General features: G+C 33.3%; 3 annotated features.

Annotated features, from left to right (window-relative positions):
- Positions 4,203-4,403: a silencer, noted in NCBI's record as "peak595 fragment used in MPRA reporter construct". NCBI's record gives its function as "represses an SCP1 promoter by STARR-seq MPRAs in K562 erythroleukemia cells {active_cell/tissue: K562}" and the evidence as "EXISTENCE:reporter gene assay evidence [ECO:0000049][PMID:32103011]".
- Positions 18,845-18,984: an enhancer, noted in NCBI's record as "active region_2256". NCBI's record gives its function as "activates an Ori minimal core promoter by ATAC-STARR-seq in GM12878 lymphoblastoid cells {active_cell/tissue: GM12878}" and the evidence as "EXISTENCE:reporter gene assay evidence [ECO:0000049][PMID:35858748]".
- Positions 19,015-19,114: an enhancer, noted in NCBI's record as "active region_2255". NCBI's record gives its function as "activates an Ori minimal core promoter by ATAC-STARR-seq in GM12878 lymphoblastoid cells {active_cell/tissue: GM12878}" and the evidence as "EXISTENCE:reporter gene assay evidence [ECO:0000049][PMID:35858748]".

The following is a 21,755-nucleotide window of genomic DNA, read 5'->3' as shown; positions in this document are numbered from 1 at the left end:
CTACACAGTCAAGTAAACACGTATGGAAATCATTCAATCACTTTATATTTGTGAAAACGTTTCCAATATAATAATTTTAACACATTTTTCATAAATATTTTTAAAGAATGATTCTGTAAAGAACTGTTAATTCTATTTTAATTTTTAAAAATATTACTTATGTTTAAATGTAGTTAGTGATATTAATGTCTTTCTGTAAATTACTTACTTATCTATATAAACTCAATTAGTTAGTTAGGGACAACCATGTGCATCAGTGCTAGTGATATATAGAGTTACTGATAATCTTAGGAGCCACAATGTCTTAAGAAATAATGAAAGTCACAAAAGGTATTCATTGTAAAATGCACATATTTCATTTTTATACACTAATGATATGATCAACATTTGAGTCAGAATTCACATGAAATTTATTCAACTTATTTATTGCTCCTGAGAACTTATGTTAACCTGAAACTTTATGGAGAAAAAATGTACTAGAAAGGTAAGAAAGCAGTTTCATTAAAAGAATTTGGGAAGAATTTGTTAAAATAATATTATGCATCATAATAATTACTATAAAATAATTTTCAAGCAGTTACTTGAGAGTGATTAATGCAGTACTGAGAATGATATATATATATAGTACAATTTAATGGTATCAGTAATTGAAGAAACTGACAGTAGTAAATTAGAAAGTCACAAATATTGAATATTTGAAGGATTGCTATCCAAGTGCAAAAACGTCACCTTTTTTTTTTTTTTTGAGATGGAGTCTCCCTCTGTCACCCAGGCTGGAGTGCAGTGTTGTGATCTCGGCTTGGTACAACCTCTGTCTCCCAGGTTCAAGTAATTCTCCTGCCTCAGCCTCCAGAGTAGCTGGGAATACAGGCATGTGCCACCACACCTGGCTAAAAGTTTTGTATTTTCAGTAGAGATGGGGTTTTGCCATTTTGGCCAGGCTGGTCTCAAACACCTGACCTCAGGTGATCCTCCCACCTTGGCCTCCCAAAGTGCTGGAATTACAGGCGTGAGCTACCGTGCTAATTTTTTTCTGATTAAAATCTAAAAATTTAATTGATTGCTTAATGTATTATCTTTCACACCATTTCTAAAAGTTTAGCTCCCACCCATGAAAATAAAATACAAAGTCTTCTGAGATGAAGGCACAATTTTCTTTATATTTTAGTTTTACAATCCTAAGAAAAATTAAAACTGTAATAATGATATAGATTAAATTAATTTACATAAATACCAATACATGTCCGTATGCACCCATATATTTTCTACTCATGCATAACACCCTAGATATAATTGTTTATGTCTTCCTAGTGACAAAACAACTTCTAGTTTAGTTACAAAAGTATAGACCTAAATACAATCTATCAATGAATATCCTACTTGCCGTATTCTACAGTCTTTTAACTGCTTTCTTCATTTAATCTGTTTGTAAATAACCTACAGACCTTTAAATCTGAAGGCATATTAGGGAACATTCAGTGATAGAATGTCAAAGGAATTGTTTAAATGAATATTTATTAACTTATTAGGAAGCAGAGTAGATATATGTGACTACATAATGGTGTATGCTTTGCATATTCAAATACAAAAGCATATAGTGGGGTAGTAGATGTTTAGAAGAAAGCTTAATGAAATAAAAAATGGAGAAAATGCAAAAAAAATTTAAACGTTATTCTGGGTTAAAGTTTTCTTTATTATCAATATTTGCTGATTTTTTTTCTTCCTTTATGATAAAACCTAGAGTGAAAAAAAGAAACTAGAATAGAATTAAAAGAATAAAATAGAGTAGAACTAACCATCTGTTGAAAATTGCTTCACTTGGCATAGAGGTCTCAAAACACTGAACAGTTTAGCTAATTTTTGAACCTGGACAGAATCTTGTTGCTGCTATTGAACTAAACCATATCTAGATGGTAAATTGATATCTATATTGAATATTACAAGATAAAATAATCCATTATATTTTTATGATATCCTTATGTGCATCTTAAAACTGTCCTTTGACATTTGAGTTGTTTCATCAGACATTTCAGGTTGCAATTATTTTGCCTACTCACAAGCTTTTTCTATTTGAAAAACTGCTTCTAAAATATAGTGGTCTATCATAACTCATTTAGAAATGTAAAAACAATATATTATGTTTGATTGGGTTTAAAAGTAACTTATAGCAGCTCAATTCTCTCTTTACTGGCTATGGCAGAGAGGATAGCTTTTTTTTATTTGTATGTAAAAACCCCCCAAAGTATTCCAAAGCTACTTTTTTTTCCTTTAAAAGATGTTTTTTTCTTTGGCTAAACTAAAATTGTGAGTTAATAATAGTAAGGGCAGTACTTCTAATAATTTCCCAACACAGTACCCTGGTGGAGTACAAAAGTGACAACATATTGCTATCAAAATATTAGCCATTGCATCCCATCCTGCACACTTTGGAAACACTCTTTAGTGAAGTTTCATGTAATCACATTTACTAAGCTACTATGCAAAAACATTATTTAATCAGCACAAGTTTTTTCAGGCATAGCAGGATTTCCTTCTCCCTGCATCTGTTTATGCAGTATAGGTTCAATGTAGAAAACTCAGAAAATGATAAATAAATAAATATGTATAAAGCAAAACATCACTCAGAGGTGACAATTGTTAACATTTTTACATAGCTCCCTCCAGCCTGCATGTGAATGTACATATAAATTGGAATATTAAAATTATACATGATACTGTACATTCTAATTTATAAACTATTCTTACACATAACTTATGCAGTACAGTGAGTTTTAGAAGTCACTTAGATCTTAGTATAAGTTGTTTTATCAAATACTTCCCAGAGTAGTTTATGGGAAGGCATTGAGGACAAGGTGAGAAGGTCATATCTGCGTGTGGCAAGTGGTAGAATCACTGCTACCTGGACAACAGGTGTTTTAATAGGGAGAAAAAGCCACCTTATTTCATAAATTTTTATATACCTGACATTTGCTTACTAAGAGAAATATAGATCAATATTATTAGAAGACTTTTGTGCATGTGGGAAGCTCAGTTAAAGACAATAAACTCCCATCTTTGCAGACACTACATAACACCTTTCATGTGTTGATGGAGCTCAATATATAAACTGTACATGAAAATGAATAGGTATATTCCCTTCTTGACAAAAGAGGCTAATGGAACTTACCCAGCTAAAACTTTTCACATTAAATTGAAATTATACCTCTAAATCTTGGAGGTAGTGAAAGCTGTGCATACCTCTTCTATGTTAAGACGCTGCAAAAATATTGGCCAAAGCAAAGATTTATAAGATGTCACTGAAAGCATTCACTCTAACAATAAAGAAGACAGCAGGATGGTGAAATGATGGTTGGGGTTCAAAATAAATCACATGGCACTATAATAATTTCATAGCAGTTAGGTCTCCCTTACCACACTGCATCTCGCATTTCATCATGTTGTCTTTTAAGGAAATAATTGTTCCTCATAGGTATAGCATTTCAGTGTTTAGGGCTTGCGTTTATTTAAAAAAATCCAAAAAGTTCACTAAGAAAAAGACGAAAGATTCAGTGAGGTAAACACACTCTTAAAGTTTTAGAGACTGATATTTTGTCAGCATACTATTTCGAAGGAAAAATAAGCATAAATATCATGAGGAATATGATGTTTTTCTATGAAAAACTAAAAATTGTGTAAAACAGTAGTTCTCAGTAGTAAATAGGCATCGATTTTTGATCCCACCTTGTTTTGTAAAAATTATTAAGGAATTTTTGTTTAATTACTGGTACTCTTAATTTTCATTTTCTGATGGGAAAATGGAACTGAGCATAATGACAAAAATTTCTTTCTCTGCACATGGAATGTTTCTAGTTACCATATTACTTCACTCTAACCTACTGGTCTTATTGCCTATCAATTTCAGGTGGTCTCAAGACTTCCTTAAAAATAAGATAATTTAAAAGAAACATATTTAAAAAGTGTTATTAATCTTCCCTCTAGACTTAAGGACATTGGATTGACCTTTGGCCATTCTCATTGCATGATTGTGATGAGTTGAATAATTAACCCCCTCAGCCAAATTCATGTTCACCCTGAACCTCAAAATGGGGCCTTATTTGGAAAAGAATCTTTATAGCTATAATTAAAGATCTTGAGACAACATCATCCTGGATTTAATGTGGCCCCTAAATCCAATTAGTTATAAGAATTTATGTAAGTAGTGGAGAAGAAACAGAAACAGAAAGCCAAGTGAAGACAGACACAGATTGGAGTGATAAGTCTACAAGCCAAGGGTCACCATGAATTGCCAAAAAGCCAGAAACTAGAGAGAGGCATGAAACAGATTCTCCCTCAATGTCTTCAAAAGAAACAAACCTTGCTGACACCTGATTTCTACATTTTGGACTGTAGTATGGAGATGATAAATTCACATTGCTTTAAGCCATTCAATTCACGGTATATGCTACAGCAGCCCTAGGAAACTCATATGATCATGATTTCAAGAAATTGTTAGGAGCTTACTCATACCTGATACCAAATAACTGAAAATCCAGCCAGAGCTATGCACTGAACCATGTACCTATAATTAATATTCAAGGTTTTTATAGAGTAATTAAGAACAGGCATTAATGAGAAGCTGCTGATCTGGAGAATAGTGCCAGTCACATGTATCTGAGTGAGCCACATGGTTAGCTGGGTAAGAAACATGATAAAGTCCCAGACTTAACTTCACAGGGTTGAGGTACCTACGCACACTTAACTTTCTCTCTTTATCATTCCTGGCCCAAGTATAAAATTGGGAGAACTGGGGTATTGGGAGCTGAACTTAAAAAACAGGAGTTTTATGTACTAATATTGTTGTGGATTGTGTGTTTTTTTTTTGTATTATTTCTTAAAGCTAAGTAAACCTGGTGGTGTTTAAAGCCTATTGTGTCCATTAAGTTTGATTTTCAATGTGAACCCAGATCCAAATGCCAAATGGCTTGTACTTGGCATTGCATGGTTTTATATAAACACACACACACACACACACACACACACACACACACACACACACACACACAGATAAATATGCATATATACGCACAATATATCTGGATACATATACATATATATGTCATATACTTAGTCTTGTAAATACATTTTGTTTTAACCTTATGGGAGACTATGAGTTAGGTATTTAACAATTAAAGGAAAATGGCTAAGCTTGCAATACATTTAGTTATGTCGTAGGTAAGGTTTGCTGAGGAAGTCATTTTAGGATCCACTGGATAAAGTATAGTATGAGAATAATAAAGCTGGGGGTACCTGAATATGAGGGAAGTGAGAGACCAAGATTAGCTGGATTACTGTGAGATTTCTATAATCAAATATATTTCATGCTACTTTTCACAGGCTATAGAGGATTTAAAGTGCTTACTAACAAAATTGTCAACCTAAGGAGAATAAATGAAGATGGGTTATATTGCTTGTTAAGATATAATATGCAATTAGTGTTACTACCAAAATAATAAAAGTTATATTACATGAACTATAGAAATAACCATGAATAATTTTTTATTTTTTTGAGACAGAGTCTCACTCTGTTGCCCAGGCTAGAGTGCAGGGGCACGATCTCGGCTCATTGCAAGCTCTGCCTTCCAGGTTCATGCCATTCTCCTGCCTCAGCCTCCTGAGTAGCTGGGACTACAGGTGCCCACCACCACGCCCGGCTAATTTTTTTGTATTTTTGATAGAGACAGGGTTTCACCATGTTAGCCAAGATGGTCTCGATTTCCTGACTTTGTGATCCGCCAGCCTCGGCCTCCCAAAGTGCTGGGATTATAGGCGTGAGCCACCACGCCTGGCCCAACCATGAATAATTTTTTAAAAATGGTATCAAGAGAGCAGCTCAGATAATTCATTTAATATAATACTATTACTAATAATACCTAATAAACTAATTTCATTCTATGTATGAGCTTTATGAAGTTAAAGAAATTAGTATGTTAGAAATTCATGTTACTCGTTTAATTAAATCATTATCTCCAAATGGATAGAAATAATTTTAAACTAGTATTGTGACAGTAATTCCATAATGCTCCCAAATTACAATGGCTATTCTAGGAGAGTAGTAGAGTCAGTTCAAAAACAGAAACACATGTTCTAGATTCAGACAAACCTGGGCTTAAGCCTTAGCAGTACCACATCCTAGCTGCTATGAGAAACTGTGCACACGTCTCATCTAAAAAAGAAGGATAATTAGAATAATATCTAGAATAATATCATAGGCTAATTGTGAGGATACATGTGTTAGTCTGTTCTCACACTGCTATAAAGAACTACCCAAGACTGGGTAATTTGTAAAAAGAGGTTTAATTGACTCATAGTTTTGCATGGCTGGGGAGGCCTCAGGAAACTTACAATCATGGTGGAAGGGGAAGCAGGCATGTCTTACATGGCAGCAGGCAAGAGAGCAAGTGCAAGAGAGAGCAGAGAAAACTGCCATATAAAACTCTCAGATCACATGATAACTCACTCACTATCACTAGAGCAGCATGGGGGAAAATGCCCCCATGATCCAATTACCTCCCACCATGTCCCTTCCTTGACACATGGGCATTACAATTTGAAATGAGATATGGGTTGGGGACACAGAGCCAAACCATGTGAATACAATAAAATAGTCTTTATGGGATTTTGTTGAAAAATGCTTTCCAAATAATGTTTTCTTCCGTAATTATTCATAGTTGAACTAGGAGACATTCTCTTGAATTTGACTACATGAATGATGCATCCCTGTAGCACTCTGAACATACTGTCCTCATATTTAAGTTACTTATTACTGATAAACATCAAACTGGAGATACATATATCATAAGTAATTGGAGACCCCAGGCTGGAACATAGTGGTGTGATCTCGGCTCACTGCAAACTCCACCTCCTGGGTTCAAACGATTCTCCTGCCTCAGCCTCCCGTGTAGCTGGGATTAGAGGCCACACCTGACTAATTTTTGTATTTTTAGTAGGAACTGGGTTTCACCACGTTGCCCAGGGTGGTCTCGAATTCCTGAGTTCAGATGATCTGCCCTCCTCGGCCTCCCAAAGTTCTAGGATCACGGGTGTGAGCCACTGCACCCAGGTAAATACCTTTAGAGAAATTAATTTTTTCTGAATTGTGATAGGCTGTTTTAAAAAGGTATTTGTTATAAAAGCAAAGAGGCTACTGTGGATCACCATGAAGATGCTGCTTTATTTTCCGTTTCACATTCCGCCTTTCTGTTACTACACACACACATAAACACACATACAATGCATCACTAATCTTACTGTAGTCCATTTTTCTGGGGTCAGAAAATCACTAGAAGTTCAAATTATAAGGTAATTTGAAATGTTAGTGTGGGTGAGGAGAAAATGAAAAACGAATTAGTTTAATGAATTCCAAGAGACTATTTCAACAACACAGGTTCATTATAATTTTTAGCTTTTAGCAAATTTAAGAATAATAAAATAATCTTTGATATCTTTTAACATTTTAAAGATAGATCACTGATTGATTCTGTCTTGTTTTTTAATAGTTGGAAAAATTGAGTGACACTACTAAAAATCTATGACTATTCATCTAGAAATTTGAACAAAGTTACTCTAAACACATAAAATAGAAAAAAAAAAATAAATGTAGAACGATAATACTTTTATTACTCTGGCAGTAAGTAATAAAAATGGGTAAATAAATTACTAATAATACATTTTATTTTATTAGTAGATAAATTCTCAGCAATAACTTGTCAATTAATATTTGTAATATAATTATTTCAACCAATTTTATACCACAAATAATTTAAATGGTTACTCAATCCAGAAGGAAAAATGTTAATACACAGAGCTTCATGGTAACTGAATATTAAAATTATTTTTAATGTGGAAACACATTAATTTTCAGACAAATATTGTGATAATAAACAGATGTTTAAAGCTCAAATTATTTTTAATAGGATAATAATTATCTGGAGAAAGCTCAAAATGTAAAAAAAATAAAAAAAGTAAAAGGAACAATGTAAAACTTAAGAACCTATTCATGGAGATTTAGATATATGATTATGGGTATCATGTTTGCATTAGATATTCAAATGAGTAATTGTACAAATTTTCCTTTAAAAAATGATATACACAATATTTTACCAATTACATTACTTGCCATTATTTGTACTTGTACTGGAAAATGTCTTGAAAATTTGAAATGTACATGAATATGAGAGCAAAATCATCTTAAGGCCTTTAAATGATAGTACCTGGGCAAATGTAGATAAGTTAAACAATTCATTTTAAATTAATTAAGAACACCATATTACAAAATAATATACTCATGTTTCAAAATTTATTAAGCATTTACTGTCATGCCTTGGACAAATGATACATAGTGTCCGCCTACAAAGAACTTGGAAACTCTTATGGAGAAACAATCACATAACAATATATAACATATTGTCATTTAGGTAGTAGGGATGTGTAGGCATCGTACAAAGTTGTTTCTTAAATGATATGAGAATTACAGGAATTACAAAGATTCTTTTAAAGTATGATGACTGATTTATAATCTAGTAACTTCTCTATGATAATAGTATTAAAATAGATTATTATATGCAAATGTTTTGTTTTATAACAAATATACTTAATTAAAAAAAATCTTTGAGTAAGTAAATTTTTGTACATGTGGAGTTTACCATGACTTTTGGGATGATTTCTGGGTTCATATGTGTTTCAGAGGTCAGATTTTGAGACATTTACTGTGTTTTTTTTTCCCTGTGTTCAGGAATTAAGCAAATAAAGTATAGTCATCTCTCAGTATATGTGGAGGATTTATTCAGGACCATTGTATAACAAAATCTGCACGTAAGTCCAGCAGTGAAAACCTGCATTGACAAAAAGTCTGTTCTCCCTGTATGTGAGTTTCACATTCCACAAATACTGCATTTTGAATTTGCATTTAGTTTAAAAAATCTTCATATAAATTCAAACCCATGTTGTTCAAGAGCCAGTTGCAGAATTATCGATACTAAGTATATTGATACAAGAGTATAATGCAGAATTGCTGAAATTCAAGTCATTTGCATTTCCTTAAATAGCACCTTATATTTATTTGTTTACTGTCTAATGATCAAATTATGTAGATTAAAATGTACAAATAATCAACAATCCTTATACAGGTTGTATATAAATATCTTGATTTAATTATGAAAAAATAGTAAAAGAGGTTAAAAAATCTATAAGGTAATACGTAGAGAAACAGAGCAGTCTCTGGTTAATCTTTAGTCCTTTTGATGCAGGGCAGATTCTTGACGTCACCCAGGAAATAATTTAAGATTAAGCCAGTGATGGAAGAAAGCAGTTTTATTAAGGTGGTGGCAGTGTTAACAGTTCTGTGACTGCTCCTTGCAGAGCAAGGCTAGCGCATAAGCAAAGTGGCTAGAACAGGCAATGGGCAGTTGACAGTTGTATTTATACCCACTTTGATGGCATACAAATAAAGGGGCAGGTTATACATCAATCGCTAGAAAATGGGCACTAATTTCCAGCTGTTGCCATGGAAATGGGTGGTGACTTCCATACGTTGCGATGGCATTCATAAACTATCATAGCCCTGGTGGAAATGTCCTGTGCTGATGAGCAGCCAGGGCAACTAGAGGTTACTGTCGGTGCCGCTTGTTGGTGGTTTTGGCCTGTCGTCACCTGGTCCTGCCAGGCTCCTACCTCCCTCCTGCTATGATTATTCTGTTCTGTAGACACTAAAACTAGGTAAAAGACACCAGGGCATTTAGATAATAAAAACAATATATATTATTATTGTCTAATTCTCCTGAAAAAATAGAATTAGAGGTAAGAAAATGGACAGATTCAAATCTAATAACCCATGTAAGCATTGAAAATGATGATTAAATATAAAAATATTAAAATAAATAAAATATGTTATTATTTAAAGCAAAAATTAATTTTAATTTAATATTAATTGTTAATACTGAATGTTAAAATACTGAAGGCTGTTTCACCCCCTTAGATGAGTATTTAAACTCGGGAACAATTCTTATCTAAGGAAACAGTTCAAGGATATTCACTTTCCCAAATTTGATTAGACACTGTACTGGAGAGTCTAGCCAAGTGCAATAACAATGTTAATTAACTAAAATCTAAGAATTGAAAAGGAAACCATATATCTGTCTTTACTCAGAAAAGATATGCATGCCTGCACAAAATATCTAAAAGCTACCTACAAGTAAATGTTTAGATTAAGTATATATATTTAATAAGATTACTCCATTTGAGATCAATGTAAAAAAAGCAACTGCATTTGTAAATATCAACAATTCTTCCAATTATTAATTATATTATAGAAAGTTTTTCTTCTCTTGCCTAAATTCAAGCTCTTCACCTTTCTAGGATAGAAAGTGCCTGGGGGTTGGGGGATGTTCCTCATCACTGATGCCTGGCTTTGTGGAAGCAGGATTTCCAGACATTCCAAAGTCTTACCCAAACTACATACTCCCAGGAGAGGAGGATGAGGAAGCATGGTTATCTTGGGAATTTGGTCCTGGACACCCACTTTGGGTGACTTGGGTGATAGACTTCAAAAACAACTAGCCACTGTTTTGGTTTCCCAGGGCAGGGACTCTGATGCTCTCCCTCCTCTGCTACTTAGACCTGCCTTCTCTGGCCTTGGGCTCAAATTTTTCTCATTTGTAATTAAAAAATTTAAAAAAAATCAGAAGAGGAAAAGAAAAAAAAAAGATGGCTTTATTTTTCCCTGTCTATGGTATGTGTGCCCTTGTAGTTTGCTGGGCTCCTTGTACCTAAGGTAGTATACCACCAGGTGAGTGCTATGGCCTCTAATACTAGACCTTGTCTGAGACAACCTATTAAATTCTCTTAGGAGTTCTTCAGTCTGGGGCTCTGCAGCCCTTGGTGTACCTCCCTTTCTTGACTGTTGTGAGATCATTGAAGATAGCATCCCCAAAGTAAACACGGTTTTGTATTGATAAGAGCAAAATAAAAGAGCAACAATAAATGTAATTTGCACTGATTAAAGAGAAAATGGTTTCTCAACTATAAATGCCCTTGACATTCAATGAACTATTTGAATCTTTCTCTCTCCAATTACATTATAGATTAAGAGCATAATGAATATTTTCTGAATTAAAGAATCATTAATACTCGTTGCTGATTATAATGTGCTAAATGCTCTAAAATATCACCTCAGATACCATTTATAACAACCTTAGGATACATTTAGTACCATTATTATCACCATAAAAGTAGAAAATAAGGCATAGAAAAACAAATAAATTACCCAGCCATTCCATGAACACTTACTGAGCACCTACTGTTTGCTGGATATGGTTCTTGGTGTTGGAATGCAGAGTGGAACAATCAGAAGTGGCTTCTCCTTTGGTGTCACTTTTAGCTTTAACATGTGGCAATTCAGAGTTTCAGCACAGGCAGATGGCTTCGCCCATGCCAGCGTGGAGCTACTAGGCTATCCTTTGCACACTGCTGCATGCCCTGATCCTCTGTTATGAGAAATAAAGAATATGAAGTCAGAACAGTGCTCTGGTGGATCACATAATCAAGCTAATCAACAAAGAAAGACTGCCGTACAGAAAGTTTCCATCACCTCTTTGAAAGCTTTGGTAGATTTCTACTTAGATTACGTGAGTTCTTGCTGATTATGAGACACGTGACTGGACAAATTATTCAATCTTTCAGAGTCTATTTTACATTTGGAAAAAAGGGGAAAAACAAAACCTACCCTACCTAGTGTTTTGGTCCTTTCAGAAGTAGGGTTTATTGATATGTTTATATAAATGCACACATGGGTCAAACTTCATACACCCTCTCTCCTAAGTTAATTTTACCTTATGTTAAAATACAGAATGAAAAGGTTTACAGTGTATCCGTTTATTTTTTTAGGGAGAATTACACACATTTCCAAGATTACTTGTGTAATTTTTAAAAGATTATTTGTACAAATGTAAAATACTTTTGAAGAGTCACACTCACCAAAATAATTAGGTTTTTTAAAAACACATTTTATATATGAGAATGAGTTCACATCATAAAAGAGAAGCAGGATTTGACAGTTCATTTTTTGGACATAAAAACCCAGTTACTGATAATTCATTAGGAATGAAGCTTTGGTTAAACAGGGCCATTCGTTGTTAATAGCCTGTGGTGCAATAAGACTTGCCGTGAACAGGTGATGATTACAGTACTTAGCACTTCTGGAGAATAAAAGTACAGTGACTGTAATCATTCTAAAAATTACTTCATAAGTGTCACACTGTTAATTACAGTTCAAAGAATTAGCATCTGGTTGAAGTTATAGGTGTAGCTTTGAGGAATTGGTATTACAGGAAATGCATTTAAAGAACCTTTAATCACAACATAAAATGTTCTCCGACTGGCTTTAGGTACTCTTGTACAGTAAGTCACACCTGGTGTTTACTAAAAGTGAAAAAGTATAAAAAGCAATTGATACTGTTTTTTCTTCAGTAGAACATGAAAAACAGTATTATTTTACCTTGTGGACATTGTAGTTCTCAAAAGAAAGTAAAAGTGTGGGAACTTTAATGAATTTTTATGTTTCAGTAATATTGAAGGTGTTGCTCAGTTGTAAAAGTTGGGTATGATTTATAATCAATATGTAAATGAGATACAAAATTACCTAGGAAAATTAAATGACATTAATTTGTTTTTTTAAAAGTAGACTAAGTGAGGATAAAGTCTAAAGGAGGATACAGTTTGTGAAGAGATTTTGTGAAAACCATTTAATGCATGCTGACTATTGTCTAAGAGGCATTTTAAGTACTGAATTTCTGAAAGTACTGGAATTTTATTGGATTTTTGATTTGGAACTTAGTGTTCTGAAAAAAGTAATGGTAAGAAGGCTCATAAGCAGACATGTATTTTATTCAATATGCAATACATGAAGTATTTAAAATCAATGCGAAAGAGTTACTTTTTTCTTAAAACAATGTTGGGGCAATTGGCTAACATTTGAGGAAATTATATGGAATAAAATGTAAAAGCAATCATCTAATCATAAATACAAGTAACAGAATAAAAATAAGTAAACAATAGTTTTTAAAGTATTTTTATTAGAAATGATACCAATGTGGAATCAATTGAGAAATGAACATATCTAGCTCTGTACAACCTAAACATTCTATTATATTGTTTTTATAATAAAAATAAATTAACAAAATATAAACAAGGTGTGGATTGATATTATCTTACCAAATGTAGAAACATCATAACATACTTTTAATAAAATCTGTTAATTGGGATTCTGAGTCCCTGGCCTGGGCCAGAGATAGGAAACGCAGGTTGCAGTTGCTGCCATGATTTTGCCTGGGTGCCCAGCTGAGACAGTTACTGCCTTGCTTTGGGGACTCTATGCTCTGTGATTGCTGCCCAGCTGTGAGACCAGGGACTTACACTTGCCAAAGCTGAGGGTAAGAGGTAAATGTAGTCCTTGGGGTCTGTGGCTCCAGTAGGATTTAAACCTTTACTTTAGAGATACAGTAGAACTAAAGAAAACAAACAACCAAGCATCATGAAATTGTGATTAGCTCACGAACCATCCTAGAATAAAGTTAGGGATCACTACTCAAGCATATTGTCCTAAAACCCATTCAAAGATGTTTGATATAATGGCTTGGGATGACTATATTGTGGAATGGGCTGCAAAGATTTCAAGTAGCTTCCTCACAACGGCTATTTTGGCCCTCATTTCACTGGTCCTAGCAAGTGCTTTATGTCCTGGAAACTGAAGAAGATGATTGTGGAGCCGGGAAAACAGCAAAAGAAGAAACAGGAGTCAAGAAAATATCGCCAAAGTCAAACCACTTAAAAAGGATAGGGGAAAGAATAAGAGGAAAATTATTTGGAAAATTATCATCTTTTGAAGGATCCTCTATGGTTTCTTTGTTGGATTTCATAACAGTTATTATTTAGTAAATAAAATTTGACCATATGGGAGAATCACATTAGTGCTGACCTCAATAATATAATAACATTTAGGCTTGGATATAGACGTTTGTTGGTGTCTGTTCACAGTTATTTTAAGATTGCATTTAATAAGCTACACATTCTTTGTAACTGACTTAGTCATTTGCCATTTTGCAGCTTAAGTACTTAAATGAAAACATCCTGTGGAGAAAACTGACTATATATTTTGAACTCCATTGAAATAATGGTTTAAAATGAAGTCCTGTTCTGGACAAAGAAGTTTATGAATGTCAAAGTAAGAATTGTGCTCTCTGAAGTAAAAGTGTGATTTGGCTTAAAAGAAACACAATATATAAATTACATCTTTTATTATTATTATTATTTCTTATTTCTTGGAATAGAATCATTTCTGGTTTTCTCAAAGAAAATAATATCAATCAATGAGCACATTAATTTTCTGAATTTTTCCTATTTTAGCCTTTTAGATAAATGGTAATTGCAAAGATATTCTGCATTTTAACTTAATTTTGTAAAAAGTTCTCATTACCTTGATTATGTAGAATATCACCTACAATTGTTGTACTTATGAAATGTCATTTTCTTAGAGTTGACTTGCTAGGAAAAGAAACACTAATTCAAAGCTTGCAGTAAAAACGACAAATGTGGTAGCTCCTTGGAACCGGTTTATTCTTGCTTGGACTGAGTAGAAATGTGAAGTAGTTAAAATGTCTCATCAGACACTTTGCTAATGATATCATACCACTTTTGTTTTTTATTCTATTCTTTTTTAATTCATGTGGTAATGATATCCTACACTTTTTGATCAAACAGGTTCAAGGTGAAAATTAAAATTTTAAATTTCTCTTAAGGAAATTTTAAAAGAGTAAGTTAAGTCACACTTCATAAGTGGTAAAGAAAGTCTTAAAATTTGGGAAAAACATGTTGGGAATACTAATTTGTTGCAAAAGGTAAATGATTTCCAAACCACAATAAGCTGGAATTAGAAGTAAAAGCTAAAGGGCATCTTCTTCAGTTAAATAGTATAAATAGAAGTTATTGTTATTAAACATGGCTTTTATAAATAATGGTCCAGTAATTTTAATCACTATCAATATTTAATAGCTTATTAATGTTTTCTCCACCTCTGATAATGAATTTAAAGTTACAAAATTGTCCAAAAGCTCTAATTTAAAAGTAAAGCTAGACATTATGATACATGTTATACTTTTTTATAAAGAGAGGAAAACAGTGTTAATCTATACGAAAAGCTCATTTCCAAACAATAAGAAAACAGGAAATCACATTGTATCACCAAAGAATAAATGTAAACAGTAAATAGCACAAATAATGGCATTTAAACCAATATTAAATTACTTACATATTGAACTATAACAAAATGTGTATATTTGGAAGTAATATTGAAAATTGTGAAATGATTATATATAGAGAAGGGTCTGCTGAAGCAAGACTACTGGTGGGAAAACAAATTCTTAGATTACAATTGTTAACAATAGGTATTTCCTTGGTATTAAAAATGTCTCTTTGAGACATATACACTAAAAAAAATAGCAGTCACCCAAGTAAATATTTATGTAAAACAAGTTATTTAAATTAAACTTATAATAGTACATATACATTATGTAATAATATGAAGTCATTAAAAGGCTACTTATGATAGCAGCTATGGAAATATATGAATACACATAGGAAAAGAGAAAAACTAATACAAGAAGAATGGACTGAAAATAAATTGATGATAGTTGTCTATATATAATATGATTATATTTAATTTTTATTCCATCTTTTGTCTTTTCTAAAAACAAATTTCAGTGGGAATATACAATTTACACATTTTAATTTTAATTTTCATAGAGTAATTCATTTTTTATTAAAACAAATTTAAAGGTAGCAGAATTTATCATCTACCCCAACACAGTTGTCTCTCCAGGGGTAACCACTATTCTAAACTTGGAATTTTTCTTTCTGATATTTCTCTTAATTTAAATACATGAATTTTTTCCAATAATGACATATAGTTTGGTTCTGCTTATTGCATGTAATTTATTAATGCATTTGTTGAGCACTTATATTTCAAGAAAGAAAACTTGAAGAAAAAAAAATAGAGAAGAAAGTTCGTAACCTTGTGTACCTTAAATCTTAGTGAACTAAAAACACAAACTAAAAAGTTAAAAATTAAATATATAGCGTGTTAAGTGGTGTTCAGCACTATAGAAAAAGGAATAGCAAACTCAGAGATTCAATTACGGCATTTTGTGTTTCTGTGTGTGCAAGTTCCTGTGCATGCACATGCATGAAGCATTCTCTTTTAATACAGGGGTAAGGCAAGGCTTCATTATCTAATGATTTTTTAGCTTAAGCCTGAAGAAAAGTGGGGAACAACTTTTGTAATGATCTGAAAGGATGGCTCTACCAGATTTTAGAGTGGTTAGTGAAAATGCCTGAGGTTAAAGCATGTTTGGTTGCAATGCATTAAGAAGTTCAGTGTGGCTAAAGTAGTAATGGATCAAATCATAAGGGGTTATGTGACACATCATGTAGGTCTTTATGAGCAACCAAATTTGCGTATTGTGTAAAGGAGTAATGTGACCTGACATTTACTTCAAAGATTCCTGTGACTGCTTTCTTAAGAATAGATAATACAGATATGTTTATAGTTGACCCTTGAATAATGATATTTGTATTGTGCAGATCGATTTATACAGAGATTTTTTCAATAAATATATTGGAAACAATTTGGGAGATTTGCAACAACTTGAAAAATCTCACAGATTAACTATGTAGCCATAGTTATCAAGAAAATTAAGAAAATGTTAGGTATGTCATGAATGTAAAAATATATGTAAATACTATTATTTTATCATTTTATATATTCAAGTTGTAGAAATATATTACAAAAAGTTAAAATTTATCAAAACGTAAACACACAAACACTTTCTGTACAAGGCACCATTTGAAGTTAAGAAGAATATGAAGAAGCATAAAGATGCAGTATTAAACCATAACTAGATAAAACTAAATGTGTTACATGCTATACTACTGTAATAATTTCCTAGCCACCTCCTGCTGCTATTGTGGTGAGTTCAAGTGTTTTGCCTATCTACTTAAAAAGCCACATGATGCTAATTATCTCCATGTGAGCAGTTTCTCTCTTTAGTAAACTGAGTATTGCAGCAAAAAGTGATCTCTCATAGTTTTCACATATTTTATCATGTTTCATGCAATACTGTAAACCTTGAATTACACCATGGAACCCATGGGAAGTGCCACTAGTGATACTGGAAGTGCTCCCAAAAAGCAGAGAAAAGTCATGACATTGTAAGAAAAAGTTAAATTACTTGATATGTACTGTAAATTTAGGTCTACAGCTGTGGTTGTCTGACCTTAAAAGATAAATTAATCCAGCATAAGGACCGTTGTAAAAGAAAAAGAAATTTGTAAAGCTGTTGCTGCAGCTACACCAGAAGACACAAAAACCTTGCACTTTATGCAAAGTACCTTATCTTTCATTAAAAATGCAGGTTTTATGTGGGTATAGGATTGCTGTGTGACAGGCATACCTATTGATACCAACCTAATTCTAGAAAAAGTGAGGTAATTATACGACAACTTAAAGTGAAAGAAAGGCAACAGATCTAAAGCTGGAGAATTTAATGCCAGCAAAGGGTGGTTTGATAATTTTAGAAAGAGGTTTGGCTTAAAAAATGTCAAGGCAACTGAAAAGCCAGCTTCCATCAACCAAGAGGCAGCAGAGTTCCCAGAAGTCATTAAGAAAATTGTTAGGAGAAGAGGTATCTACATAAACAGATTATTAATGCAGACCAAAGTGCCTTATTCTAGATAAACAAACAAACAAACAAAAAAACCACAAAGAACATTAGTAAGGAAGAGAAGAAAGTACTGAGACTTAAGGAAGGAAGGAATGGGCTATCTCTACTGTTTTGTGCAAATGCAGTAAAGTTTATGATCAGGACTGCCCTTGTCTATAAAGCTACTAACCCCTGAGCCTTAAAGGAAAAAAAAAAAGATAAACATCAGCTGACAATCATTTGGTTGTACCACAATACCTGGACAACAAGAACACTTTTTCTGAATTGTTCCCATTGATGCTTTGTCCCCAAAGTCAGGATGTACCTTGCCAGTGGGGGGTTGCCTTTTTATTTTCTTTTGACTGGACAATGCCTCTGGCCACCCAGAACCCGATGAATTTAACAACAAGTGGATCAAAGTGGCCAACTGCCCCCAAACACATTTCTAATTCAGCCTCTAGATCAGTGGATCATAAGGACCTTTAAATGTCATTACACACAGTACTCTTTGAAAAGGATTGTCAACACTCTGAAGGAGAACGCCAACAGAGAAAACATTATAAAAATATGAAAGAATTACATCATTGAAGATATTGCTGTGATAGAAAAAGTCGTGAAAGCCATTAACCCCAAACAGTAAATTCCTGCTGCAGAAATCTGTGTACAGATTTTGTTCATGACTTCACAGGATTTATGACTGAGCCAATCAAAGAAATAACGAAAGCAATGATGGATATGGCAAAAAGATGAGAGACAGAGAGTTTCAAGATATGGATCTTGGAGAAACTCAAGAGCTAATTAAGACACCACACCAGAAGAATTAACAGATGACTTGATGGAGATGAGTGCTTTCAAACTAGTGTCAGGCAATGAGGAAAAGGCATAGAATCAGTGCCAGAAATAAATTGACATTAGACAATCTGGTGGAAAGAATCTGATTTTTCAAGACGAATTTTGACTCCTTTTATGACATAGACCTTTCTATGACATGGTCACAGAAACAAAAGCAAATGGTGAAATAAGAGTTGGTACCATATAACAACATTTTTAGGGAAATGAAAGTGAAAGAAAGTCAGACAGAAACTACCATGTGTTTTTCTTAGGTTACTCCAAGTGTGCTTGTTTCTCCTGCCTCCTCTTCTGTCTCTTCCACTTCTTCTACCTCTGTCACCCCTGAGACAGCAAGAACAACCCCTCCTCTTTGTTCTCCTCCTCAGCCTACTCAGCATGAAGACAAAGAGGTTGAAGACCTTTATAATCATTCACTTCCACTTAGTGAATAGATAATGTATTTTCTTTCTTACAAACAGCAGCTGCCTGCCATTTGGTTGAACAAGACCTGGATTTTCTTAGTAACAGCTTCTTTTCTCTAGCTTACTTTATTGTGAGCATACACTATATAATACATATACAAAACGTGTTAATCGAAAGTTTATGTTATCAGTAAAGCTTCTGGTCAGTAATAGGCTATTAGTAGTCAAGTTTGTGGGGGAGTCAAAAGTTATATGCAGATTTTTGAATACTTAAGAGTTGGTAACCCTAAACCCCTGGATTGCTATTGTTCAACTGTACACCTTTAATCAGGTAGAAAAAAAGTGTTGGATGAGTAGATTGTGAATACCTGGGCTTGGTAAGGATATATTTATTGAGAAGTTAACTTTGAGATGCCTATTTTACAACTAGATGGAGATATTAAATAGCCATCACAGATCCAGGCTGAAATTCAGGGAATTTTGGATTCCAAACAGAAAATATAATTTGGAAAATTTTAGTATACTCTTAATATTTAAAGCAATTCAGTGGTAGAAAATCACCAAGGGAAAAGCAGGAAAGGGTTCTAAGAACCAATCCCTCGTTTCAAAACAAGCAAGTTAAAAAAATCTTAAGTTTGGGTCATACCTCAGAACAGTAAACCAGTCAGCAGAAAGAAGAGAAACAGTTGCCCTTAGAGTGCATCCTATTTATCAGCAAACAATGTTGAGCCTGAAGCCAGTAATGAGGTGGAAGAAGAGGGACTGATACTCCAGCATGAAGATGGGACCTTGAGGTTGGATTGAACTGATTGACAGCACAGTTTGGCTCTAGGAAGAATTAATATCATGTCTCCTCTCAGGGAAGGTACCACTAGTTAAGAAGCTAAAGGATTCCCCAGCTTAAGATTAATACCTGAGATTTCAATCAAAGATTGCCAAGCAGATGTTGTAATAAACCACCATGAGAGAATCAATTGGAATATTATATAAAATTCAATATTAAAGACTGCAGACTGGAGATATAGACCATAAAGTAGTGAGTCTTAAAATATTTAATTTTTTATTACAATTTTCAAGTAGAACATACAGAGTAGCTAGTATTAAAACATTTAAATTTTAAAAAGTAAACCAAAAAACATGTCTGAAATAATAATGAATAAGTAAATTGGAGCTCCCAATGGAGCTTCTATCAGTGATAAGTTTATAGAATTTTTGATATTATACATTTAGTGAATAGATAAATCAGCAGGTTGCAGACAGCTAAAAAGAGAACAAGTAAAATGGAAGACACAGCTGAATAATTTATAAGAAATCATTACAGAATGACATAGGAATGTCACAGAAAATATTAATGGAAAGAGATTGACCAAAATGGTGTTAATAATCCCCTTATTTTACTTATTTAAGGTTTTCTTTTATTTTGTTTTTAATCGATACATAATAATGTACATATGAGGTACAGCATGATGTTTTGATACATGTACATACAATGTTAAATTAGGATAATTAGCATATCAGTCACCTTAAACATACATAATTTCTTTGTGGTGAGAACATTCAAAATCCTCTCTTCTAGCTACTTTGAAATGCACAATGTATTATTGTTAACTATAGTGACCCTACTGTGCCTTGAAACATTACAACTTATTTCTTCTATCTAATGGTGAGTGAGATGTAGCGTTTATCTTTCTGTACCTGGCTTCCTTTACTTTACATAATGTCCTCCAGCCTCATCCATGTTGCTGGAAATGACAGGATTTCATTCTTTCTTATGGCTGAATAGTATTCCATTGTGTATATATACCAAATTTTCTTTATCCATTCATCCATTGATGGACAGTTACATTAATCCCTTATCTTGACTATTGTAAGTTATTCTGCAGTCAATATGGGAGTGCAGATATCTCTTGAACATACTGATTCATTTCCTTTGCATATATACCCAGTAGTGGGATTGCTGAATCATATAGTAGTTCTCTTTTTAATTTTTTGAGGAACTTTTATATTGTTTTCTGTAATGGCTGTACTAATTTACATTCCTACCAACAGCATGTAAGAGTTTCTCTTTTCCACATCCTCACCAGCATTTGATATCTTTTTGTCTTGTTGATCATAGCCATTCTAACTGGGGTAAAGTGATATCTCATTTTGGTTTTGATTTGCATTTCCTTGATGATTAATAATATTGAGGATATTTTCATATACCTGTTGGCAATTTGTGTATCTTCTTTGAGTAATGTTTATCTATATCATTTGTCCATTTTTTAATTATTTGTTTTTTTTGTTATTTACTTGTTTCAGTTTTTTAGATTTCTTCCCGACTGTAGATGCCTGATATCCCATTGCTTAGAGTGTCGGCATGAGGAAATGTGTAATTGCACATTCTTTTCTCTTTCTTTTGAGATGGAAATCTTCTCCCAGCTCTCCTTAATTGTACAACCCAGAAGTATCTTTCTCAAATACCTGGGAGCTCTCCCTATGAAATGTAGCCATCAAGAATGACAGAGTCCCTATCTCCCAGATTCAGTGGTGGCATAGGAGCCTAACTGCAATAAACATCAGTTAGAAAAAACAAATGGCCTAATCAGTGACCAGTATCCCCTCTAACTTCTTTCATTAGCTCAGCCTAGCATTTAAGAATCCTCCTGCGTTTTATTTCAGTGGAGTTGAGTTCAATTTTACTTCTCTGTTTCAATAGTTTTGATCCTCTTATTGC

Source organism: Homo sapiens, chromosome 1, assembly GCF_000001405.40.
Source record: "Homo sapiens chromosome 1, GRCh38.p14 Primary Assembly".
Classification (NCBI taxonomy): domain Eukaryota; kingdom Metazoa; phylum Chordata; class Mammalia; order Primates; family Hominidae; genus Homo; species Homo sapiens.
The sequence above is the reverse complement of the archived record's forward strand: the minus strand, read 5'-3'. Positions and strand labels throughout refer to the sequence as shown.